The sequence below is a fragment of the Homo sapiens genome, chromosome 9 (genome assembly GCF_000001405.40).
Source record: "Homo sapiens chromosome 9, GRCh38.p14 Primary Assembly".
NCBI classification, from domain to species: domain Eukaryota; kingdom Metazoa; phylum Chordata; class Mammalia; order Primates; family Hominidae; genus Homo; species Homo sapiens.
The window spans coordinates 41,266,852-41,291,183 of NC_000009.12; the positions used below are offsets into that span (position 1 = coordinate 41,266,852).

General features: G+C 40.0%; 4 pseudogenes, besides 6 other annotated features; 2 read left to right on the forward strand and 2 right to left on the reverse strand.

The window, feature by feature from the left end:
• Positions 1–1,327: 1,327 nt before the first annotated feature.
• LOC107986999 (translation initiation factor IF-2-like) lies at positions 1,328–7,180 on the reverse strand (annotated as a pseudogene).
• Positions 1,975–2,544: an enhancer, noted in NCBI's record as "H3K27ac-H3K4me1 hESC enhancer chr9:45351849-45352418 (GRCh37/hg19 assembly coordinates)". NCBI's record gives its function as "activates a minimal SCP1, AML or CMV promoter by ChIP-STARR-seq in primed H9 embryonic stem cells {active_cell/tissue: H9 hESC(primed)}" and the evidence as "EXISTENCE:reporter gene assay evidence [ECO:0000049][PMID:30033119]".
• Positions 2,545–3,113: an enhancer, noted in NCBI's record as "H3K27ac-H3K4me1 hESC enhancer chr9:45352419-45352987 (GRCh37/hg19 assembly coordinates)". NCBI's record gives its function as "activates a minimal SCP1, AML or CMV promoter by ChIP-STARR-seq in primed H9 embryonic stem cells {active_cell/tissue: H9 hESC(primed)}" and the evidence as "EXISTENCE:reporter gene assay evidence [ECO:0000049][PMID:30033119]".
• LOC105376060 (translation initiation factor IF-2-like) lies at positions 3,164–7,180 on the reverse strand (annotated as a pseudogene).
• Positions 5,812–6,380: an enhancer, noted in NCBI's record as "H3K27ac-H3K4me1 hESC enhancer chr9:45355686-45356254 (GRCh37/hg19 assembly coordinates)". NCBI's record gives its function as "activates a minimal SCP1, AML or CMV promoter by ChIP-STARR-seq in naive H9 embryonic stem cells {active_cell/tissue: H9 hESC(naive)}" and the evidence as "EXISTENCE:reporter gene assay evidence [ECO:0000049][PMID:30033119]".
• Positions 7,083–7,412: a silencer, noted in NCBI's record as "silent region_19921". NCBI's record gives its function as "represses an Ori minimal core promoter by ATAC-STARR-seq in GM12878 lymphoblastoid cells {active_cell/tissue: GM12878}" and the evidence as "EXISTENCE:reporter gene assay evidence [ECO:0000049][PMID:35858748]".
• Positions 12,237–12,738: an enhancer, noted in NCBI's record as "H3K4me1 hESC enhancer chr9:45362111-45362612 (GRCh37/hg19 assembly coordinates)". NCBI's record gives its function as "activates a minimal SCP1, AML or CMV promoter by ChIP-STARR-seq in naive H9 embryonic stem cells {active_cell/tissue: H9 hESC(naive)}" and the evidence as "EXISTENCE:reporter gene assay evidence [ECO:0000049][PMID:30033119]".
• PTGER4P1 (prostaglandin E receptor 4 pseudogene 1) lies at positions 12,608–13,057 on the forward strand (annotated as a pseudogene).
• Positions 12,739–13,238: an enhancer, noted in NCBI's record as "H3K4me1 hESC enhancer chr9:45362613-45363112 (GRCh37/hg19 assembly coordinates)". NCBI's record gives its function as "activates a minimal SCP1, AML or CMV promoter by ChIP-STARR-seq in naive H9 embryonic stem cells {active_cell/tissue: H9 hESC(naive)}" and the evidence as "EXISTENCE:reporter gene assay evidence [ECO:0000049][PMID:30033119]".
• On the forward strand, positions 13,527–14,253 carry CDK2AP2P1 (cyclin dependent kinase 2 associated protein 2 pseudogene 1; annotated as a pseudogene).

Below are 24,332 nucleotides of genomic sequence, written 5' to 3' on the forward strand. Positions count from 1 at the left end.
CGCCCGGAGAGCAGGGTCCCACTCACCTGGGAGCGGGGGCACGTCCCTTCCGGTAGGCGATGAGTTAAGATTGTTTCCTTATTTATTTTACTTAAAACTGGTAGAATGTCACTATTATATGAAGTACCCACGACTCTCTCAGTAAATTTGAGCAAACGTTTATTAGTTTTTGTCAGTTTAACTAGTTCTTTTGTGTCTATTATTAAGGTGAAATTTAACTTCTATCTGAAATCAGTAAGATACAGAGAGATTTTAATGACAAGTGAATATTTTTTTCTCAGGGGGAACTGAATTATGAATTGAATGAATGAATTATGAATTAAATGAATGAATTCATTAGCAAGGTAGAGAGGACACTAACCAATCGGTAGTTTTAATCAATCTGTATTCCCTCCCCCCTCCCTCTTTGTTTTTTGTTTGTTTGTTTGTTTTTGAGACAGAGTTTTGCTCCGTCGCCCAGGCTGGAGTGATGTGGCGCGATCTTGGCTCACTACAACCTCCGACCCCCGGGTTCAAGCGACTCTCCGCCTCAGACCCCCGAGTAGCTGGGATTACAGGCGCCAGCCACCATGCCCAGTTAATTTTTGTGTTTTCATTAGAGGCGGGGTTTCACCACGTTGGCCAGGCTGGTCTCAAACTCCTGACCTCGGGTGATCCGCTCACCTTGGCCTCTCAAAGTGTTGGGATTATAGGCGTGAGCCACCAGTCCCGGCCCCTCCCACCCCTCTGTATTATGACCATGTGTACCCAGCATTTAGCTCCCACTTATGAAAGAGAACATGCGGTATTTTGTTTTTTGCTTTTGCATTAGTTTTCTGGAAAGAATGCATTCATGTTGCTTCAAATGGCATAATTTTGAGTTTTTTCTGGCTGTATAGTATTCCATGAGTCTTTATCCAATCCACCACTGATGGATGTCTGGATTAAGCCTATGTCTTTGTGATTGTGAATACTGCTGTGATAAAAATATAGCTACATGTGTCTTTTTGATAGGGTATTTATTTTTTTTCGGGTATATACCCAGTAATGGGGTTACTGGATTGAATGGTAGATCAACTCTCAGTTCTTTAAGAAATCCCCAACCTGCTTTCCACAGTGGCTGAACTAATTTACATTCCTTCAGAAAGTGTATAAGTGTTCTCTATTCTCTAAATCTTCACCGATATGTGTTTTTCTTTTGACTTTTCAAAAAAAGCCATTCTGACCGGTGTGAAATGGTATTTCATTTCAGTTTTGATTTGCATTTCTCTAATAAATAATGACGATGAGCACTTTTACATATGTTTGTTGGGTGCTTGTGTGTATGTCTTCTTTTGAAAAGTGTCCGTTCATGTCCTGTTGCCCACTTTTTAATGGAGTTACTTGCTGCTTGCTTGTTGATTTGTTTAAGTTCCTTATAGGTTCTGCATAATAGACCTCTGTTAGATGCGTAGTTTGTGAATATTTTCTTTCATTCTGTGGGTTATCTCTTTACTACCTTGATAGTTTCTCTTGTTGTGCAAAAGTTTTTCAGTTTAATTAAATCCCACTTGTCATTTTTTGTTTTAGTTGCAATTGCTTTTGAGGACTTAGCCATAAATTATTTGCCAAGGCCGTTATCAAGAAAAGTATTTCCTAGGTTTTTTTCTAGGCGTTTTATAGCTTGAGATTTTTTCATTTAACTCTTTAATCCATCTTAAGCTAATTTTTGTATTTGGTGAAATATGGGGGTCTAGTTTTATTCTTCTGCATATGACTAGCCAGTTATCCCCGCATTATTTATTAAATAAAGTCTTTTTCCCATTGCTTACTTTTGTCAACTTTGTTAAAGATGTGATGGTTGCAGGCATGTGGCCTTAGTTTCTAGTACTCTAGTCTGTTCCATTGGTCTATGTGTCTGTTTTTCTACCAGTACCATGTTGTTTTGATTACTATAGTCTTCTAGTATAGTTTGAAGTCATGTAATATGATGTCTCTAGCCTATGTCTCTAGCCTTAGTATTGCTTTGGCTTGGCTAGCCTACGTCTCTAGCCTTAGTATTGCTTTGGCTTGGCTATTCAGACTCCTTTTAGGTTCCATATAAATTTTAGATGTTTTCTATTTTGTGCAAAATGACATTAGTAATTTGATAGGAAAAGCATTGAATCTGTAAATCGCTTTGAGCAGTATACTCATCTGCACGCAGATGATACTCCAGTGTATGTTCTGTGGTTGATGAATGAAGTGTATTGTAATTCCAAATGGTCAAGCCAGACCCTGCCCCCGCCCGGCTCCTCCTCTGCCAGAGCTGGATACCTCTAGCCAAGGGGCCTCTAGAGCCACTGGGGATGGGGCTGAGGGCCGCTTCCCGCCCCCGTGCAGCTGCTGCAGGGCAGACCGCCTGGCTTGGCCGCAGCCACAGGGACATCTGGCCCTGCTTCCGAGATGTGGGGAGTGCGGGCAGGCTCAGGAGTTGCCTGGAGGCTGCTGCCTGCACACAGAAGGCGGCTGCAGCTTGGGAGCCCAGGCTGGCTGGAGGGGCATGGCCTGGTCGGCCTCGGGATCGCCAGCGCGCCCAGCCTGAGGGCCCCCAGGCCGTGCCTCCCACCCACTCCTCCACCTGAGAGAGATCGGGGCCGCTGTCATGGGCACTCGGCAGTCACCCCGTGTGGGGTTGAGCGGCGGGTTTTCAGTTCTCGCCCCTGTGCAGCCGCCACCGCCGGGCAGAATGCCTGGCTTGGCCACAGCCACAGGGACACCTGGCCCTGGTTCTGCGAGACTGGGAGCGCAAGCAGGCTCAGGGGTTGCCAGGCAGCTGCTGCCTGCACACAGAGGGCGACTGCAGCTTGTGCACCCAGGCGGCGGAGCATGGTCTGGGTGGCCTCTGGAATGCGTGCGCACCAGGCCTGAGGGCCTCCCTGGTGGTGCCACCTGCCCAAGTCTTCCTCTGCTGGAGCCTGGAGCAGCTGGAATGGCCACTCTGCAGTCACAGGGGATAGAGTTAAGTTTTCTTATCCCACACATGCACACAAAAAGGTAACTATTCTGTGAGGTAATTAACATGTTCATTGACTTCGTTTTGGTAATCATTTCAGAATGTGCATATAAACGCATCACGTACAATTTTTATTTCTCTATTACACCTCAGTAAAGCTGAAATAATTAACAGGATTGAAAGGATAAACCCACAGTTCTATAGTCACAGTTGGACCCTTCAATACCTCATTTTAATTAATGGATAGAAAAACCAGACCGAAGCTTCATGAGAAATACAAGAGTTAAACAACGGTATAAGCCACTGAGAGCTAATACGCATATACAGGACAGTCCATCCAACAACAGCAGAATATACATTCCTTTCAAGTGTATATGGAAGTTCTCTAGGATGGGCCATATCTTCATCCACAAAATATGTCCTAATCATTTTTAAAAGTTTGAAATCATACAAAATATAATTTACAACCACAATGGAAGAAACAACAGATAAATAAGTGAAAACTGGAAAATTCACGAAAATGTGGAAATTAAACAATACAGTCTTCAACTACCAGTGAGTGAAAAAAATAAATCACAAGCAAAATTATAAAATATCTTGAGATAAATTAAAATAAAAACAAAACATACCAAAACTTATTGAATGCAGTGAAAGTAGAGTTCAAAGGAAAATTTATGGATATAAATAACTACATTTAAGAAAAATCTGAAATCAACATCCTCACTCTATACCTAAAGGCAGTGGAAGAAGACAAAATAAGACTAAATCCAAAGCTAGCAGTATGAAAGAAATAATAGAGAGCATAATTAGAGCATAAATCAATAAAATAGAAGTTTGGAGAGCAGTAGAATGAATAAACATAGATTATTTGAAAGATCAAGCCTTTCACTATATTGACTGAGCAAAAGATGGAAGACTAATTATTAAAATAATAAATGAAAGCAGAGCCATTACTACCAACTTTACAGAAATACAAAAGGATTACAGGAGTATACTGTGAACAACTGTCTAACAACAAATTAGCTGTCCTGGATGAAATGGACGAATCACTAGAAAGACACAAACTACCAAAGTGGCTCAAGAAGAAAGAGAAAATCTGAATAGACCTATAACCTAGCAGATTGAATTAGTAATCGAAAGTGATTAACAAAGAAACATTTATGACCAAATAGCTGCATTAACTGGTGAGTCAACCTAACATTTAAAGAAGAATTAATACCATTTCTTCTCAAACTCTTCTGACATAATATATGAAGAAGGAATACTTGCTAATTCATTTTTTGATAACAGCATTATCCTTATACCAAAGCCAAAGAGAGCACAAAAAGAGAACTACAGCACAATATCCCTTATGAATATATAAGCAAAAATCTCAGCAAAATACTAGCAGCAATACTGTATAATCAAAGGATTGTAAACTATCACCCTGTGAGATTTATCCCCAAAATGCAAGGGTGGCTCAACATATAAAAAATCAATCAGTGTAATATACTCTAACAGTAAAATGAATAAGCACGTGATTATTTCAATTGATGCAGAGAAAACATTGATGAAATACAACACCCTTCTATAATAAAAATACTCAATAAACTAGGCATAGAAGGGATTTTCTGCAACGTGACAATAGGATGTACAAAAACCCAACAGTTAATATCATGATCAATGATGAAACACTGAAAGCTGTTTTCCTAACATCTAGAACAAGACAAGCATGGTGCATTTGCCACTTGTGTTCAATGTACCACTGGCAATTTTAGCCAGAGCAATTAGGCAAGACAAAGAAATAAAAGGCATCTACATTAGAAATAAAAAACAGAAGTAAAATTATATCTACACATGATCTTATGTGTATAAAGCTCCAAATAAAACACAAAACCGATTATAACTAATAAAAGAGGCAGGATGCAAAACAAACATAGGCAAATGAGCTATATTTCTATATAGTTGTAAAGAACTATGAAAACATTTTAAAAATTCCATTTATAATAGCATCAAAGAATAAGTTATTCAGGCATAAATCTAACCATGGTGGTATACACAAAACTTTGCTGAAAAAAACGAAAGAGAGTGGAAATAACTGGAAAGACATTCTGTGTTCACGGGTTGTAAGACAATACTGTTAAGATGACAATACCATCTAAAGTAATCTACAGATTCAATGCAATACCATCAAAATCCCAAAGGCATTTCTGCAGAAAGAAAGAAACTCATTCTACAATTCATACAAAAATTCAAAGGATCTGACAGACAAAACAGTCTTGAAAAAGAATATTAGAAAACTCACATTTTTCAGTTTCACAGCCTACTACAAATCTACAGTAATCAAGAGAGTGTGGTACTGGCATAAGACTAATAGACTTTTAGACCAATACAACAGAACAGATTTAAGATCCTACAAATTAGCGCTCACATATATGGTCAATGACTGTTCAACAAGCTGTCCAAGTCTAGTCAAGGGAGGAAAGAACAGTCTCTTCAACAGCTGGATGTCAGTGCACAAGAGAGAAGTTAGACCCCTACCTTGCAGTATACACGAAAATTAATTCTAAATTAATAAAAGACTTACATGTAAGGACTAAAGTATGTAACTCTTAGAAGAAAACACAAGGTAAACCTTTATGACCTTTGAGTTTTAAGTGTATTTTGAAATATGACAGAAAAGCACAGATAACAAAAGAAAATACACGTAAATTAGATTTAATCAAAATAAAAAACCTTTATGCATCAAAGGATACTATCAAGGGAGTGAAAAGACAACCCATAGTATGTGAGAAAATATGTATCTGATAAAATCAAAGTGCGTATCTGATAAAAGCTTAATATCCCACAACTCAACATCAGAATTTCTAACATCCCAATTAAAAAATAGGCAAAGGACTTGAATAGACATTTCTCCGAAGAAGATACACAAATGTGTAAGACGGATAAGAAAAGATGCTAAACACTGTTATTCATTAATAAAATGCAAGACAAAACCCAAATGAGATACCACTTTGCATCCACTAGTAAGGCTTTCATAACAACGACACAGAAAATCAATGTTGCTAAGGAGGTGGAGAAATTGGAGCCCTCATGAACTGGCTGCTAGGAATAGAAAATGATGCACTTGCCGTGGAAAACAATTTGGTGGTTCCTCACAGAATCACACAGAGAAACAAGAGCTGCTGGCTTCCGGGTTCTCCTGGGCTGGCGCGGTACGTCCCGGAATCGCAGGCGCGCATCCCTTCCCGCCTGAGGGCCTGCCTGGCCGTGACTCCCGCCCCTCTTCTCCTCCGAAGAGACGTCGGGGCCGCTCCAGGGGCCGTCCGCAGCCACCGGGGATGGGGCTGAGGGTCGGTTCCTGCCCCGGTGCAGCCGCCGCCGAGCAGACCGCCTGGCTTGGCCGCAGCCACGGCGACATCCATGCCCGGGTCTGCGAGGCTGGGCGCGCCAGCCAGCTTGGGAGTTGCCTGGCGCCTGTAGCTGGGCGCCCAGGTGGTGAGCATGGCCTGGGCGGCCTCTGGATCGCAAGTGCCCCTGGCCTGAGAGCCCCCCAGACCCTGCCCCCGCCCGGCTCCTCCTATGCCAGAGCTCGACACCTCTAGCCAAGGGCCCTCTGCAGCCACGGGGGATAGGGCTGAGGGCCGGTTCCCGCCCCCGTGCAGCTGCTGCAGGGCAGACCGCCTGGCTTGGCCGCAGCCACAGGGACATCTGGCCCTCGTTCCGAGATGTGGGAAGTGAGGGCGGACTCGGGAGTTGCCTGGAGGTTGCTGCCTGCACACAGAAGGCGGCTGCAGCTTGGGTGCCCAGGCGGGCTGGAGGTGCATGGCCTGGTCGGCCTCGGGATCGCCAGCGCGCCCAGCCTGAGGGCCCCCAGGCTGTGCCTCCCGCCCAGTCCTCCACCTGAGGGAGATCGGGGCCGTTGGTATGGGCCCTCAGCAGTCACCCCGTGTGGGGTTGAGCGGCGGCTTCTCAGTTCTCGCTCCTGTGCAGCCGCCACCGCCGCCGGTCAGAATGCCTGGCTTGGCCGCAGCCACTGGGACACCTGGCCCTGGTTCTGCGATGCTGACAGCGCGAGCGAGCTCGGGGGTTGCCAGGCAGCTGCTGCCTGCACACAGAGGGCGACTGCAGCTTGGGCGCCCAGTCGGCGGAGCATGGTCTGGGTGGCCGCTGGAATGCGTGCGCTCGAGGCCTGAGGGACCCACTCTTGGTGCCATCTGCCCTGCTCTGCGCCCCCTCTGCGCCTGCGCCCCCTCCGCGCCTGCGCCGGGGCTCTGCGCCTCTCTGCCTTTGCGAAGGGCGCTCTGCCTTTGCTAGGGCGGAGCTGCCTTCTCCTCAGCACAGACCGGGAGAGCATCGCGAGGGCGGAGCTGAGTTCTCCTCTGCACAGACTTCGGAGATACAGCGAAGGCGGAGCAGTGTTCGCCTCAGCACAGACCCGGGCGGGCGGGCCGGGGGTACCGCGAGGGCGGAGCTGCGTTCTGCTCAGCACACACCCGGGAGACACCGCGAAGGCAGAGCAGCGTTCTCCTCAGCACAGACCTTGGGGGCACTGCCTCGCTTTGGGACAACTCGGGGCCGCATCAACGGTGAATAAAATCCTTCCTGTTTGCAGCCCTGAATAATCAGGGTCAGAGACCAGTTAGAAGGGTTCAGTGTGGAAAACGGGAAACCAAAAGCCCCTCTGAATCCTGCCCACCGAGGTTCTCCCCAGCCAAGGCGAGGCGGCCGCAGTGCGAGATCCACACCGCAGCCTCGGAAGACAAATGCGGCATTCCTAATGCAGACATGACACCCAAAATATGACACCCCCATTGCTCATGTAACAAGCACCTGTAATGCTAATGCGCTGCCTCAATACAAAAATATTAATATAAGATCCGCAATCCCCTCGCTGCCGTGCAGTCCAAAGACAGCCATCATAATAATCAACATTGACATAGTCAATACAAACTTAGTAATGAACCTAGGGTTAAGGTTGGTGTTAGGGTTAGGGGTTAGGGGTTAAGTTTAGGGTTAGAGGTTGGAGATAGGGATTGGGGTCAGAGTTAGGGGTTAGGAGTCAACGTTTAGAGTTAGGGTTTAAGAGATGTTAGGGGTTAGGGATTAGGGGTTAGGGTTGGGTTAGGGTGAGGGTTGGGGTTAGGGATAGTGGTTAGGGTTTGTGTCAGGGGTTAGGGGTCAGGGTCAGTGGTTAGGGGTCAGGGTCAGGGGTCAGGGTCAGGGGTCCCACTCTGCGATTTGTCTATTTACTCTGCTGACTGTTCCCTTTGCCATGCAAAAGCTCTTTAGTTTAATTAAGTCCCAGCTATTTATCTTTGTTTTTATTGCATTTGCATTTGGGTTCTTGGTCATGAAATCCTTGCCTATGCCAATGTCTAGAAGGGTTTATCCAGTGTTATCTTCTAGAATTTTTACAGTTCAGGAATTAGGTTTAAGTTCTTAATCCATCTTGAGTAGATTTTTGTATAAGGTGAGAGATGAGAATCCAGTTTTATTCCCCTACATGTGGCTCGCCAATTATCCCAACTTCATGTGTTGAAAAGGGTGTCCTTTCCCCACTTTATGTTTTTGTTTGCTTTGTCAAAGATCAGTTGGCTGTAAGTATTTGGGTTAATTTCTGAGTTCTCTCTTCTGTTCCATTGGTCTATGTGCCTATTTTTAAACCAGTACCATGCTGTTCTGGTAACTATGGCCTTATTGTACAGTTTGAAATCAAGTAGTGTGATGCCTCCAGGCTTGTTCTTTTTGCTTAGCCTTGGTTTGGCTACATGGCATTCTTTTGGTTCCATATTAATTTTAGAATTGTTTTTGTAATTCTGTGAGGGATGATGGTGGTATTCAGATGGGGATTGCATTGAATTCGTAGATTGCCTTTAACAGAATGGTAATTTTCACAATATTGGTTCTACCCATCCATGAGCATGGGGATGTGTTTCCATTTGTTTGTGTCATCTATGATTTCTTTTCTTTCTTGTTTTTTTTTTTTTTTTTTTCAGAGGTAGTTTCGCTCTTGTCGCTGAGGTGGGAGTGCAATGGTGTGATCTCGGCTCACTACAACTTCTGCCTCCCGGGTTCAAGCGATTCTCCTGCCTCAGTTTCCCGAGTAGCTGGGATTATAGGCATGCGCCAACGTGCTTGGCTCCATCTATGATTTCTTTCAGCAGTGTTTTGTAATTTTCATTGTAGAGGTCTTTTGATTACTTTGCTAGGTATATTCCTAAGTTTTGTTTGTTTGTTTTTTGCAGCTATTGTAAAAGGGGTTGAGTTCTTGATGTGATTCTCAGCTTGGTAGCTGTTGATGTATAGAAGAGCTACTGATTTGTGTACATTAATCTCGTATCTGGAAACTTTGCTGAATTCTTTTATCAGTTCTAGGAGCTTTCTAGAGGAGTCCGTAGGGTTTTCAAGGCGAAAGATCATATCGTCAGCAACCAGTAACAGTCTGACTTCCTCTTCACCGATTTCGATTTCCTCTATTTCCTTCTTTTGTCTGATTGCTCTGGCTAGGACCTCCAGTACTATGTTGAAAAGGAGTGGTGAGAGTAGGCTCTTCGTCTTGTTCCAGTTCTCAAAGGGAATGCTTTCACCTTTTCCCCATTCAGTATTATGTTGGCTGTGGGTCTGTCATAGATGGCTTTTATTACATTAAGGTATGTCCCTTGTATGCCTATTTTGCTGAGAGCTTTAATCATAAAGCAATGCTAGATTTTTTCAAATGCTTTTTCTGCATCTGTTGATAAAATCATGTGAGTTTTTTTTTAAATTCTGTTTATTTGGTGTATCACATTTATTGACTTGCATATGTTAAACCATTCCTGTGTCACTGGTATGAAACCCACTTGATCATGGTGGATTATCTTTTTGATATGTTGTTGGATTCAGTTAGATAGTATTTTGTTAAGGATTTTGGCATCTGTGTTCATCATGGATATTGGTCTGTAGTTTTCTTTTTTGGTTATGTCCTTTCATGGTTTTGGTATTAGGGTGATGCTGGCTTCATAGAAAGAAGGGAGTGTTTCTTCTTTCTCTGTCTTGTGGAATAGTGTGAAAGGATTAGTATCATTTCTTCTTTGAATGAAAGAAAATATTCTTTGAATGTCTGGTAGAATTCTGCTGTGAATCTGTCTGGTCCTCGGCTTTTTTTGTTGGTAATTTTAAAATTACCATTTCAATCTTGCTGCTTGTTTTATTGGTCTGCTTGGGGTATCTACTTCTTCCTGATTTAAGCTAGGAGGGTTGTATTTTTCCAGGAATTTATGCAACTCTTCTGGGTTTTCTAGTTTTTGTGCCAAAAGGTGTTCATAGTACCCTTGAATAATCTTTAATATTTCAGTGGTGTCAGTTGTAATATCCCCTGTTTCATTTCTTAGTGAGGTTATTTGGATTTCCTCTCTTCTTTTCTTGGTTAATCTTATAATGGTCTATCGATTTTGTTTATCTTTTCAAATAACCAACTTTTTGTTTTATTCATGTTTTGTATTTGTTGTTGTTGTTGTTGCTGTGTCAATTTCCTTTAGTTCTGCTCTGATCTTGGTTATTTCCTTTGTTTGCTGGGATTGGGTTTGGCTTGTTCCTGCTTCTCCAGTTCTCTGAGATGTGAACTTAGATTGTCTGTTTGTGCTCTTTCATACTTTTTGACATAGGTGTTTAGGGCTACAAACTTTCCTCTTAGCACTGCCTTTGCTGTATCCCAGAGGTCTTGATTGGTTGTGTCATCCAGTTCAAAGAAATTTTTTCCATTTCCATCTTGATTTTGTTTTTCACCCAGTGCTCATTCAGGAGCAGGTTATTTAATTTCCATGTATTTGCATGGTTTTGAAGATTCCTTTTGGAGTTGATTTTCAGTTTTATTCCACTGTGATCTGAGACAGTGCATGGTACAATTTCAATTTTCTTAAATTTATTGAGACTCATTTCATGGCCTATCATATGGTCTATCTTGGAGAAAATTCCATGTGCTGTTGCATGGAATGTGTATTCTGTGGTTGTTGGATGAAATGTTCTTATATATCTGTTAAGTCCATTTGTTCCAAAGTATAGTTTAAATCCAGTGTTTCTTTGTTGACTTTCTGTCTTGATGACCTGTCTAGTGCTGTCAGTGGAGTAATGAAGTCCCCCACTATTATTGTGTTGCTGTCTATCTTATTTCTTATGTTTACTAGTGATTGTTTTATAAATTTGGGAGCTCCAGTGTTAGGTTCATGTATGTTTAGGATTGTCATGTTTTTCTGTTGAATGAGACCTTTACCATTATATACTGTCTGTCTTTGTCTCTTTTAGCTACTGTTGCTTTAAAGTTTGTTTTGTCTCATATGAGAATAGCTACCGCTGGTGGCTTTTGGTGTCCATTTGCATGAAATGCCTTTTTCTACCACTTTCCTTAAGTTTATGTAGGTCGTTATGTGTTAGGTGAGTCTCCTGAAGGCAGCAGATAGTTAGTTGGTGAGTTATTATCCATTCTGTGGTTCTGTATCTTGTAAGTGGAGCATTGAAGCCATTTACAACCAACATTAGTATTAAAAAGTGAGGTACCATTGCTTTCATCATGCTCTCTGTTGCCTCTGTACTTTGTTTTTGTTTTTTGTTTTTGCTTTTTAACTTGTATTTTTGTTTTATAGGTCTTGTGTGATTTATGCTTTAATGAAGTTCTGTTTTGATGTGTTTCCAGGGTTTGTTTCATGATTTAGAGCTCCTTTTAGCAGTTCTTACAGTGCTGGTTTGGTAATGGCAAATTCTGTCAGCATTTGTTTGTCTGAAAATGACTGTATCTTTCTTTCATATATGATGTTTAGTTTTGCTGGATACAGAATTCTTGGCTGATAATTGTTTTGTTTGAGGAGGCTGAAGAAAGGGCCCCAATCCCATCTAGCTTTTAAGGTTTCTGCTGCAAAATCTGCTGTTAGTTTGATAGGTTTTCCTTTATAGGTTACCTAGTGCTTCTGTCTCACAGCTCTTAAGATTCTTTCTTTTGTCTTAACTTTGGGTAACCCAATGACAATGTGCCTAGGCTAAGATCTTTTTGTGATGAATTTCCCAGGTGTTATTTGTGCTTCTTGTATTTGGATGTCTAGGTCTCTCACAAGGCCACGGAAGTTTTCCTTGATTATTCCCCCAAATATGTTTTCCTAGCCTTTAGAATTCACTTCTCCCTCAGGTACACCAATTAGTCTTAGGTTTCATTGTCTTAGGCCCCACCACTGGGGCCGCTACACGTGACATGGGATGTGGGCCATCGGGCAAAGGGCGCGGAGATGGGGCGCTGCCAAGGGAGCCAAGGAGGAAAGAGAGCAATTTCCAAATTGTCTTCCAGGGTTTCAATGTGCATTTTATTAACTCAGAATCTGTCGGGAATAATACTAGGGAGCTACCTTTCCCTGGAGATGGGTCTTGTCAGTGGAGTGAGATAGGCTGGGGGGAGGAAGAGGAATGGGAGGCTCAGTTTATAAATATTAAGATCAGCAAGGGTGTGCTGCTGGCAGGAGCAGAGGGAGCCTGGAGATTTGGGTGGCTGCCGTTGGTAAGTGGTTGCAATCCAGAGAGTGGGATTGAGTTCCTCCCTTGTCATGTTAGCATCCCGTTTCCTGGGCGTGGGTCTAATGCCCTGCAGGTGGTCATTTCACTCATGGTGGCTTTGTCTCTCTTCTGCCATCTCCAGACTCAGCTTCGCACTCCAGGGCTGCGTACCACCAGCCACTGTCATGTTAACCCCTTCCCAGGCCAATGTGTCCTTGGCCTGGAGCCCAATCTGCTGGACAGCTTGGGACCGTCCATTTTCGGGGTGGTGGGCAACCTGGTGGCCATCGTGGTGCTGTGCAAGTCGCGCAAGGAGCAGAAGGAGACCACCTTCTACACAGTTATGCGGCTGGCTGCCACCGACCTGTTGTTCACTTTGCTGGTGAGCCAGGTGACCATCGCCATGTACATGAAGGGCGGGTAACCTGGGGGCCAGCTGCTGTGTGAGTACAGCATCTTCAGCCTGTTCTTCTTCAGTCAGTCCGGCCTCAGCATCGTCTGTGCCATGATATCTATACAGGTAATTTGTGTTAGACATTCTTAGAAGAGTTTCAAAAGTTTTATGTTTTTATCTGGGTTATAAACAGAGTCCTCAAATGCATACAAAGGAAATCATGCCATGATTGAATTTCAGCAGGAATAAGTTTATTTTACCTATTCAAAATTAAAATACTTTTGTTGTGTTTGAAAATCTGTTTTAAAGATATGTTTTTGAAAAAAGTTTAAGTAAATATTTAATCATGTCCCCTTTTCTATCCCAAGAAATAATTTCATATATAGTTTATTTAAATTTTTTAACAAAAATGTAGCATAATTTTTTTAAATTGTATATTTTATTTAACCCAATATATATCCAAAATATTGGGTCAATATATAATCAATATAAAAATTATTAGAGATAGTTTGCATTCTTTTTTCATATGAAATCTTTGAAATCCATTGTGTATTTTACATTTTAGGATGTCTCAACTCAAATGTGAAATTTTCATGGAGAATATTTGAACTGTATTTAGATTAATACAAATTGCAGTTAAAAAGTTTAATATAGATTTACCAGGGGGCGTGCAGCCCTCTTGCCAATCAGATCGTTGCTGAGCGGTCCCGCAGCCAACCCCCGAAGAGCAGCCTGCTGGCTTCCCCAGCGCCCAGGAGTTGGGGATGTCCTACAAACCTACCACCCCTGCCCCCAGCAGCACCCCCGGCTTCAGCACCCCTGGGCCAGGCACTCCGGTCCCTACAGGAAGCGTCCCGTCGCCGTCGGGCTCAGGGCCGGGAGCCACTGCCCCTTGCAGACCGCTGTTTAAAGACTTTGGACCGCCTACCGTCGGTTGTATGCAGGCCATGAAACCACCTGGTGCCCAGGGCTCCCAGAGCACCTACACGGAACTGCTGTTGGTCACAGGGGAGATGGGCAAAGGGATCCGGCCCACCTATGCTGGCAGCAAGAGCGCCGCGGAGCGCCTGAAGAGAGGTATCATCCATCCCTAGTCAGAGTGCCTGGTAGAGACAGAGCGGAACGCCCACACTTAACAGGAAGCTCCTAGGCCTCTGTGTCTGGACTTCAGAGCACCTGCTTCTCCCTGGCCTTCATCCCTAGTTGCACTAACCATCCTGGGCTTCCTGTCCTGTGTCCCTTGATGGGTGCCCTCCAGGAACCAAGGGGCGGTTCTCACTGCAGGTGGCAGCACTAAGGACCCCCCTCCCCACCCCACCCCGCCAACGCAACAAGAGTTAGCAGCGAGGTCCCCGTGAGTCCCACCCATGACCTGCAGACAGTGTTGCCCACTGGAACTTTCTGTGGCCCCCACCACTCAGCCCTTCCCAGCACTTGTCCAGAGCCTCTTTCTCCCTCAGCACAGCTCAGACCTCAGGCCTGACACTTCCTTGCCTTGTGTCTTTTGCTAAATATGACCTTTCTATATTAATAAAAGATGCTTTGGAGTTGTGCTCTCTAAAAAAAAGTTTAATATAAAGGAGAAATAAAAGGAAATTTAGCAAAGAAATATGTAGATGAATATTTAAATACTCAGAGGTGACATTACTACCAGACATAATGAGATTATCAGATGTTTCATTTACTTATGATTAATATGTTTGTATTTATTTTTTATTCATTTTATTTTATTTATGTATTTATTTATTTTTATTATACTTTAAGTTCTAGGGTACATGTGCACAACGTGCAGGTTTGTTACATCTGTATACATGTGCTGTGTTGGTTTGCTGCACCCATTAACTTGTTATTTACATTAGGTATTTCTCCTAATGCTCTCCCTCCCCCAGCCCCCCACCCCATGACAGGCCCCAGTGTGTGATGTTCCCCTGCCTGTGTCCAAGTATTCTCATTGTTTAATTTCCACCTATGAGTGAGAATATGCAGTGTTTGGTTTTCTGACCTTGCGATAGTTTAAACAAACTAGGAAGTTCAGAAGTCACTTTACAAGAGAAATAAAGAAAAATAAAGTATTAATGACATTGGTAACAATAAAAATTAGAGTTAGACAAAGTATTAACAAGCAAGCTTATATATTTATAAGAGATGGGAAAATATTAGAAAGGAATAAATCATGTCTTGTCAACATGAAGAAAAAGTGTATTTTTTTGTTAACTTATTATTGTGTTTCCTTGTATAATTTTCACTTGGTTTTGTTGGTTTTACTACTTGCTTCATTCTTTCAAAAACTGCATCTTCATAGACCATTTCAGCTTTTGCTATGTGGGCAGAATTATAAAACCCAATTTCAAAATTTCAGCTGAACGTTGTCAGCATTTTTCTTTGGGCTTTTTATCGGAAAAAAAACCTAAGTAATTGTGTGTGTGTGTATTTTAGTATTACCATGAATGTAATAACAATAAAATCAAACAAAAACAAATGGATATGCAATATGTTGGACTAGCATCTCAAATATGAAAAAGGCATTGCCAACAGTGATATAATTTTTTTTCATAATGGTAAGCTTTTTAAAGTATAATCTTATTTTAACCTAAAATCTTACTATCAGAAAATGCAGTGTACATTAAAATGTTCTGAAATGCTTTATTCACATTTATTAAATGGTTGTACTCACTCAGATATCTACAAATTGGTTTTTCACTTATGTAATTATCTTATAGAATGTTCAAAAGTCATGCAGAATGTGAGATAACTTTCTATTGAATATGATTGTTTTATCATTGCAAGACATCAAACATCCCTGTTTCCTGCCAAATGAATGTACAATAGCAATAAATGTAAAGATGTGTTTTTTGGAAAAGACACATTTTTGAGTTATAAAACAAGGATTTTAAAACTTGAATTGTTACAGTGAGCATGTCTTAATATAGGCTACAGTCACTTTAGATAAAAAATTACCTCACATCTATTTTCAATATTACTTAAAGATGTTCATTTAGTGGCAAATATTTTTTTTTTGCCTGGAGGCAGATATTTTGCCACATGGCTATTTATGAAACTGTATTTAAATGCATGTACACATATAAAAGCTGCCACTGTGGCTGTAAACTATTACAAGTTATCAAGATTAAAAAATAAACAAAAAATATTTCAGTTTTTCTATGAAATGTCTTTACTCGAGTCCAAATTTAGAGGTTTAAAATGCTTCAAATTAATAAAACCAAGTGTTTCACATATTTCAGTTGGAATGGCGTTTGTCCTAGTTTTATTAGTGAAGCAGCAGACTGCATTTTTTCACTCATACACCTTCAAAAGATGGACAGAAAAATTTGATAAAACTTCTAGGGCATTATCTGATGAAACACATTAAACACTAAAGGAGATATACAACTTCATTGCTTGTAAAAGACATATAAGAAGGAAACCTACATACATATATCTATCAGTTTTGTATTTTCAGGAAATATTTGCCTTAAAGTGAGCTTCATAACAGTATGTATTCTCCAACAAAGCCAAGGAAAGTAAGTTTGACACAAGGATCTGGAAGTCTACCTGTGTGGCATAATTACATTGAATACATTCCACAAATAAGGCAGAAATGTATAGTAGAGTGTCCATTATAGAGGAACACTCAATAAATATTTAATAAAGTGCTTAAAATTTCTCATTATTGACCTGAACAATGAGTATACTTATTACGTTTGCCAGTGACAGATATTAAAAGTGGAGATTGAAGGAAAAATGATGTATAGAAGAGAGATTTTACCTTCAAAGTGACATAAATAATTTGAAGAAATTGAGGGAAGTGACTTGCTTAAATATCCATACAGTAAATATTTATTGTGTGCTTACTGTGTGCACTGGGAATTAAGCAGTGAAAAAAATACAAAGGAAAACATCAACAACGTCTCTTCTATCATGGAGCTTACATTCTACCAGTAAGAGAAAGACCATCAACAAATACATATGTAGTATAACATGACTATGAATGGTATGGAGAAAAATAAGAACAGTAAGGGGGATGTGGGGGCCTGGGGATTTATTTTATATAAGGATAGACAACAAAGGCCTCATTACTAAGTAATTTTATGCAATCCTTTTTTCAATTTATTTATTTGTTGATTCCATAATACTTATTTATGTATTTATGTATTTTTAATTTATTTTTTATTTTTAGAATCAGGGTCTCACTCTGTCACCCAGGCTGAAGTGCAGGGGTGTGATCATAGTTCACTGTAACCTTACTCCTGGGCTCAATTGATCCTCCCATCTCAGCCTCCCAAGTATCTTGGTCTACAGGCACCTACCACCATGCTTGGCTAATTAAAAAAAAAAAATTAGAGATGGGGTTGTGCTATGTTGCCCAGGCAGGTGTCAAAATCTTGGCCTCAAGCAATGCTCCTGCTTTGGCCTGTCTAAGCATTGGGATTATAGGCATGGGCCACCGTGCCTGGCCCTGTAATATGCATTTAGCATATACACTGTGATAAGCACAAGAAAGTCTCTGATAGTTCAGTAAAAAACTGCAGTGATGTTTGCAACAGGTAATTAAGTTTGGCCACGATTCTTTTGAGTGTCATAACACTGTCCTAAGAAAAAGTCTATATTTCCACTTTACTGGGTGTGTGAAACTCAAACTCAAGGTTAAAAAGCTCTGATTTTTGGTTGAAATCATAATCCAACTAAAAACCAGAAATGTGGAGCCATTTTTTTTATTTTAAGTGAATCATAAGCAGTCTTGTATTTAAGACAGATAAAATTATTGTACAGTATTATGTTTTCTGTACTTAAAATGAGAGAAAACCATGAGGGTTGTTAATGTTTGAAAAAAGAAGGCATCTATGAGGAAGCTTTATATTGGTAGAAAGTGTGAAAGAAAAATAAAATCTCAGGACCCCAAACTCACTATGACAAAGGAAAATTAAGCTTGGAACCTGAGTCATGCAAAAACTGCCATCCTTTTGTTCCCAAACAGCTGTAATTTCATATGCTTACTTTAACTTATGTAAAATGTAGATTTCCTGAGAGAGAGGATGAATGCACAACTGACTCCTTCCTCCTGTTTTTGCCACATGTAACATATAGATTCACTGAGCGCTAATCAGAGCCTCACAAGAATGTAGCCATTAGCTTTCTTGCCTTCCCTCTCTCCTTCTTTTCCTCCCCTGTTTTAATTTCCTGCCTGCTTCCTCTTTCTCCTTTAAATATTGAAGTTCCCAAAACCCTCTTTAGAAAAAGCACAGGACATCACCTACTTGTGACTTGTGATCCTTTTTCCCAGGTGTATCCTCCACCTTGCAAAGCAAAATCTCTAAATCACTTGAGATCTGCCTCATTCACTTATTGGTTTACAAAAGGAAGTTGGAAAAAACCACTCATCTTGCAATGCACAAATGACTTTTATAGTAACTTTATTGCCTATGCAATCAATCACATATTTGATATAATTATAGTATCAGATGATAAATATAGATGTAAAAAATCTATCTGTAAAAGTGACTTTTCTTATTTCCCCTCTCTCCTTTTCTCCCCTACTGTGCTTTGAATTCTTTATTTTCATATTCACTTTGCTGGCTTCGGATCATTTCCAAACCTACTCTAATGGTAGCATGATAGCATCCAGTGAGTTTGTTGTTGTTGCTGTTGTGATAGGACCATAGACTTTCACATCTAGTTGTGATATCACATGCTCACATTGTCTAACTACTTCATTTTACAGTTGAAGAAATTGAGACACAAGGTAAGGTGACCTGCCCAGTTCCAATCTAGTTATATAATAAAAGAATGGCTAATATTTAATAAATAATATGAGTCAGGCACTGGGAAAATAAGGCACTTTTTTTTTTTTTGAGACGGAGTCTCCTTCTGTCGCACAGGCTGGAGTACAGTGGCGCGATCTCGACTCACTGCAAGCTCCGCCTCCCGTGTTCATGCCATTCTCCTGCCTCAGCCTCCCCAGTAGCTGGGACTACAGGCGCCCACCACCACGCCCGGCTAATTTTTTGCATTTTTAGTAGAGATGGGTTTTCACCTTGTTAGCCAGGATGCTCTCGATCACCTGACTTCGTGATCCTTCCGCCTCGGCCTCCCAAAGTGCTGGGATTATAGGCGTGAGCCATCGCGCCCAGCTAATTTTTTGCATTTTTAATAGAGATGGGGTTTCGCCGTGTTAGCCAGGATGGTCTCAATCTCCTGAACTCATGATCCGCCTGCCTCGGCCTCCCAAACTACTGGGATTATAGGCTTGAGCCACCGCGCCCGGCAGTAAGGCACTATTTTTATCTCTATTTAAAAATGTAGAAACTGAGCCAAAGAGAGGATATGGTATTTGCCTGGGATCATAGGATTAGTAAATGTCTGAGTTGGTATTTAAAGGCAGGCTTCCAGATTTCATAGCCCATCCACAATCGCATGCCACTGAAGTCTTCTGGCTCCGACTTCTCTGCAATTTACACAGCCCTACACTGCCTTCCTCCTAAACTCTCCAACCTCCTATTTTTTTCAGCTCTAAACTTTGATTCCCTAAACACAGCAGTCAGGGACTGGTGGAAGATTGTTGTGAAAAGAACAGGCAAGCAGCATTACGGTTTAGCCTGTTTTTATATCTATTTTATTCTACAGATTAGTGTACTTTTCTCAATTATGCATACTTTTCCATTCTGCCAAAAATTTATTTTAAGGCTGTTAAAGCTGTAGTCAATTTTCTCACTTTGATCTTCCAAAGGAACCTGCTGTATCTTTTTCATTCTGTGCAAAATAGGCATTTTAGGATCCACTCAATGCTAAAGTCACTGAGTAGCTACAGACTTGCTATTTGTTTCTCCATTGTTATATTTTCATAGTTTTAGAATCTGAGCAGCATTTAATTTGTCTATGCTTTATATTTTCCTTTAGAGAAAGAACACAGTGATACTTGCTCATAGTGTTAGAGGAATAATCCCAAAGAGAGAAATTATTCTTCGAATATCCACCATGACTGAATACTTAGTAATACTGAAACCTACTTATAAAACAAAACAGAAAACCTCCAAAAAACCAAATAAACAACAAAAAAAACTTAAAACCAAAAAAGTACTGGAAGTCTCAGAAGTATTTAGCAGTTATTCTTGCTCCTTCAAATGAAAAGATGCTTTATCGTATCCTCTATGGAGAGAATTCTGACAGTATTTATCAAAGACCTTACATTTATTCACCTTTTGCCCTAAAAATTTCATAACTTAAAAATACATACAACAATTTATAATATAGCATTTTTTGTAAAGGGAAATAATCAGAAAGAGCCTAAGTGTTCAACAATAGGGCACTTGTTGAATTATGATACAATCACAAAATAAGGTCTTCATAGAGCCCATTAAAATGATGTTATTGATATTTATTTATTAATAGGAGAAATCATTTAGAATTTTTGGTTAAGACCTTTAACTAAGCACAAAGTCTATGAAATAATGTGCACAACATTCCATATTTTCATAAGGGGAATGACTTTTAAAACTACCCTGCAATCATCTCATTTTACACAAATGTCTAAGCAGGTTTGTTACCCGGGTATATTGTGCCATGCTGAGGTTTCGGGTATGACTGATCTCATCATACAGATACGAAGCTTAGTACCCTGTAGTTTTTCAACCCTGGCTGCCCTCCCTACTGCCTCTACTAGTCTCCATTGTCTATTATAGTCATCTTTTCTTTTTTTAAAAAAAATCTGTTTTTCTGATTTTTTATTAGGTAAAAAATGGAAAAACAAAATATAATTTTCATTCAATACATATTTCATCTTTATGCGTTATTTTTTGAGAAAGTGAAGTCCATTTAGAATGATAGCAGTTCATCAACCAAATAATTCATCTTCACACAGTTTCAATTACTTCAGAAATTTTCTTCATCTCTCTCTCTGTAGAAATTCTCAAACTGTGGAATGGTCATCTTTATCGTCATAAATACTGTCATCTTTATGTCCAAGAGTATCCAACATTTAGCTACCAAACTACTACCCAAATCTGATTAATTGATCATGTTGATTCTGTCACATTCTACTTGTCATATCAGATTTTTATTAAAGAAATCATTAGCTTATCTATTATTGTTACTGGGGCTGTAAGAAAATTTTATAAGTCATTTGGATCAATCCTCTTCTTTATGGTCTTATTTGAGAATAAAACTTGGTTCTGTCTTAGCCTGTCATTGAATAAGCCAGTGACCTGGGGCAAATCTAACTGCTTCATCTGTAAACTATGAATAATAATAGAGTCCCTCTGCCTGTCACACATGGGTATAGTAAGGTTCCATTTTAAAAATGGCTCTTATTATGTTACCTGAAAGGCATTCTATAATGATGAGTGGCAAGGTGGTCTTAGCAACAGTGTAGTGAAAATTGGGACCATTTTCTGTCGCTATCATTTCTATTTTTGTGATACCCTCTTTAAATTAGTCTTAGGATGTAATTCAAAGGAGTGATGTAATTGGAATTTTCTTCTTTTTTTTTTTTTTTTTTTTTTGAGACAGAGTTTCCCTCTGTCGCCCAGGTTGGAGTGCAGTGGCGCAATCTGGGCGCACCGCAAGCTCCGCCTCCTGGGTTCACGCCATTCTCCTGCCTCAGCCTTGTGAGTAGCTGAGACTACAGGCGCCCGCCACCGCACCTGGCTAATTTTTTGTATGTTTGGTTGAGACGGGGTTTCACCATGTTACCCAGGATGGCCTCGATCTCCTGACCTCATGATCCGCCCAGCTCGGCCTCCCAAAGTGCTGGGATTACAGGCGTGAACCACGGCGCCCGGCCCATAATTGGAAATGTTTGTACTGTTAGATCTAAGAGTATTTTATGTGATATAATAAAAGATTAATTTAGTGAACCTCATTAGATAATTAGCCTGGAATACATTATGCACTGCCATGCAGGGGCCTAAGAGAATGGTCCACACGTCTTGCGAAGTTGATATGAAGACAGGCAACAAGACAGTCTAGCTGAGTAAAAGTCTGTAGACATCTCTAAGGAGGAGTGGTTAGAGAATGCCCTGACGGTGGATAGCTGGCATATTTTACCCCAGAAAGAAGAGCACAGAGTGGCAGAGAGTACTTGAGATTTAAATAAGAAAAGAGGATGAAAAAATTACTTTCACTAATTATAAATTTTCTCAAGAATGGACTTATTCTCTATTTTCTATTGCCTCTTGAGAAATCATTATTTTGCATTCAGTCAACATAATTATTAAGACTAATTGTGGAGGGTGTTCAAAATGGAAAAACAGCGGTCCCTAGGATTATATTGTATTTATGAATGATCACTCATTTGTAACTTTTCCTTCAGTTAGATGTTTTTTAATGCAAAAATACCTTTTAAGCACCAGTACAATTTGTGAAACGAAATGTGAAATTCAGGCATATATGTAATTTTATGTGTAAAATATTCCATTTTTTTCTGTTAATGAAGTAAGTATGTTTAACATGAGATATATCCTCTTAATAAATTTTTAACTGTGCAATACAATCTTGTTAACTATAGGTGCTCTGTTGACAGCAGATCTCTAGAACTTATTCATCTGTTATAACTGAATTTTATACCCATTGAACAGCAACCCCAATTTCCCCTCCTTCCAGACCCTGGCAACCAGTATTCTACTCTATTTCTAGGAGTTTAACTATTTTAGATATCTTACGTAAGTGGAATCAGGCAGTATTAAAACATACTTTCAATTAGTAATGACTATAATTCGGATAATTTAAATAAGAGAAAGCAAACATCACTACTACTAGCTTTTGGGGGAAAATATTACAAATAGGGATATTGTGATAAAAGTGTACAATATTTTTTATGTTTGTGCACTTAGATCTGTGTTCAAACTTTGCCACCTATACATGTATAGCACATTTGAATATGTGCTACAGTATGCCATTTATAAAGACTGAAAATAACATTTTATAAAATATTATTATTTATTTGGCAACCTCATGAGCTTTGGCTTCAAAAATACCTGATTTACAAAGCATAATCCTAGTGCTGGAGAACAGATCAGTGGCTGCCAAAGGTTAGGGTTGGTTGGAAGATGTGATTAGTGAGGGGTAACATGAAAACATGTACTTTCTTTGTGGTGATAGAGCAGTTCTGCATCCAGATTATGGTGATGGTTACATAAATCCGCACTTCATAGATCTATACACACACATCACACATACACTCACACACACCTACACAAGAGTACATGTAAAATCCTTAGAAATATGAATAGGGTCTGAACCTAAGTTAATGGTATGGAAACAATGTCAATTTCCTGATTTTGGCAACATACTGGGTTAAGTTAGATATAATTATTGGGGAAAGTTGGCTGAAAATAACACGGTCATTCTTTTTACTATTTTTTAACTTCTTGTGAGTCAAATTATTTAAAAATAATTGGTATTAAACACAGACAAAAAATCTAAAATTTCTAAAATCAAAGCCTTTATGAATTTGAGCATATTATTTGATTTCTTTTGTAGACCTTGATTTCTTCACCTGTAAAAATGGAATGATAGTAGAATTTCTATCTCATTATTGTCATGCTTAAACCATACCATTTATGTAAGTGCCCAGTACCATGTCTGGTGAACAATAATGCTTAAACACTGAGTTCCCCACTTTTTTGTGGCTGTTGGTTTACAGGTGGTTTTTAAGTTCCTAAGTGGAAGTTTGTTTAAAAAGAGGCAGTCAAAATAAACAGCAATGTCTCAGAGCATCATCTGAACAAGAAAGGAAGGTGTTCTCCATCCCTTGAAGTGGTCTCAGTCCTCTTTTATTGTTTAGCTCTCATGTAAGTCTTCACAAATAACCTCAAGAATTGCTACAACACCAACAGAGAATTAACTCTCATTGAGTTTTTAGCTCAGTAGATTCTGGGTCCTAAAATTTATGGACTCACCTGCTTTTTAAATTTTTCCCATTTAGAAATATTCAATTTAAATCTTCCTTCAGTAAGTAATTGTTAACTATTAACAATCCTAACATTATAATAAAGTCAGAAGTAACATTTATTACTTTTGTTTTCCACTCATACTGTTTGCAGTCCATAAGCATACAGCATTTTGGTCTTTCCAAATATCTAAAGGAAGATAATCAAAATCAAAACTAAGAAATCCTACTCTGAAGTCATATCTCTCTAACTAGATTGTATATTTATTGAGGGTGATGACTATATTTTCTTTTCCAGAAGAATAAAACAAATACAAGGTTGGGACGAATTGAATTCAGTGGGGGATGGAGAGGGGAAGGAGTCAAGGTTCTTCATCCTTTTCCATGCTTTGATAACTTTATCTATGAGATCCTAGTTAAAAGAACATGACTATCTAAAGAAGTAAGTGCTTGAAAGGCCCACTGTATTAGGAGATTGGGAATTGTTAGCTTGAAAAGACATAAATGGAAAGAAAACATAATACAGAGACAAAATACATGAAATTTGTATTGTGGTACACATGTGCTTTGTGATCATATTTCTGTGTCATAAACAAAAAAAAAAGTAG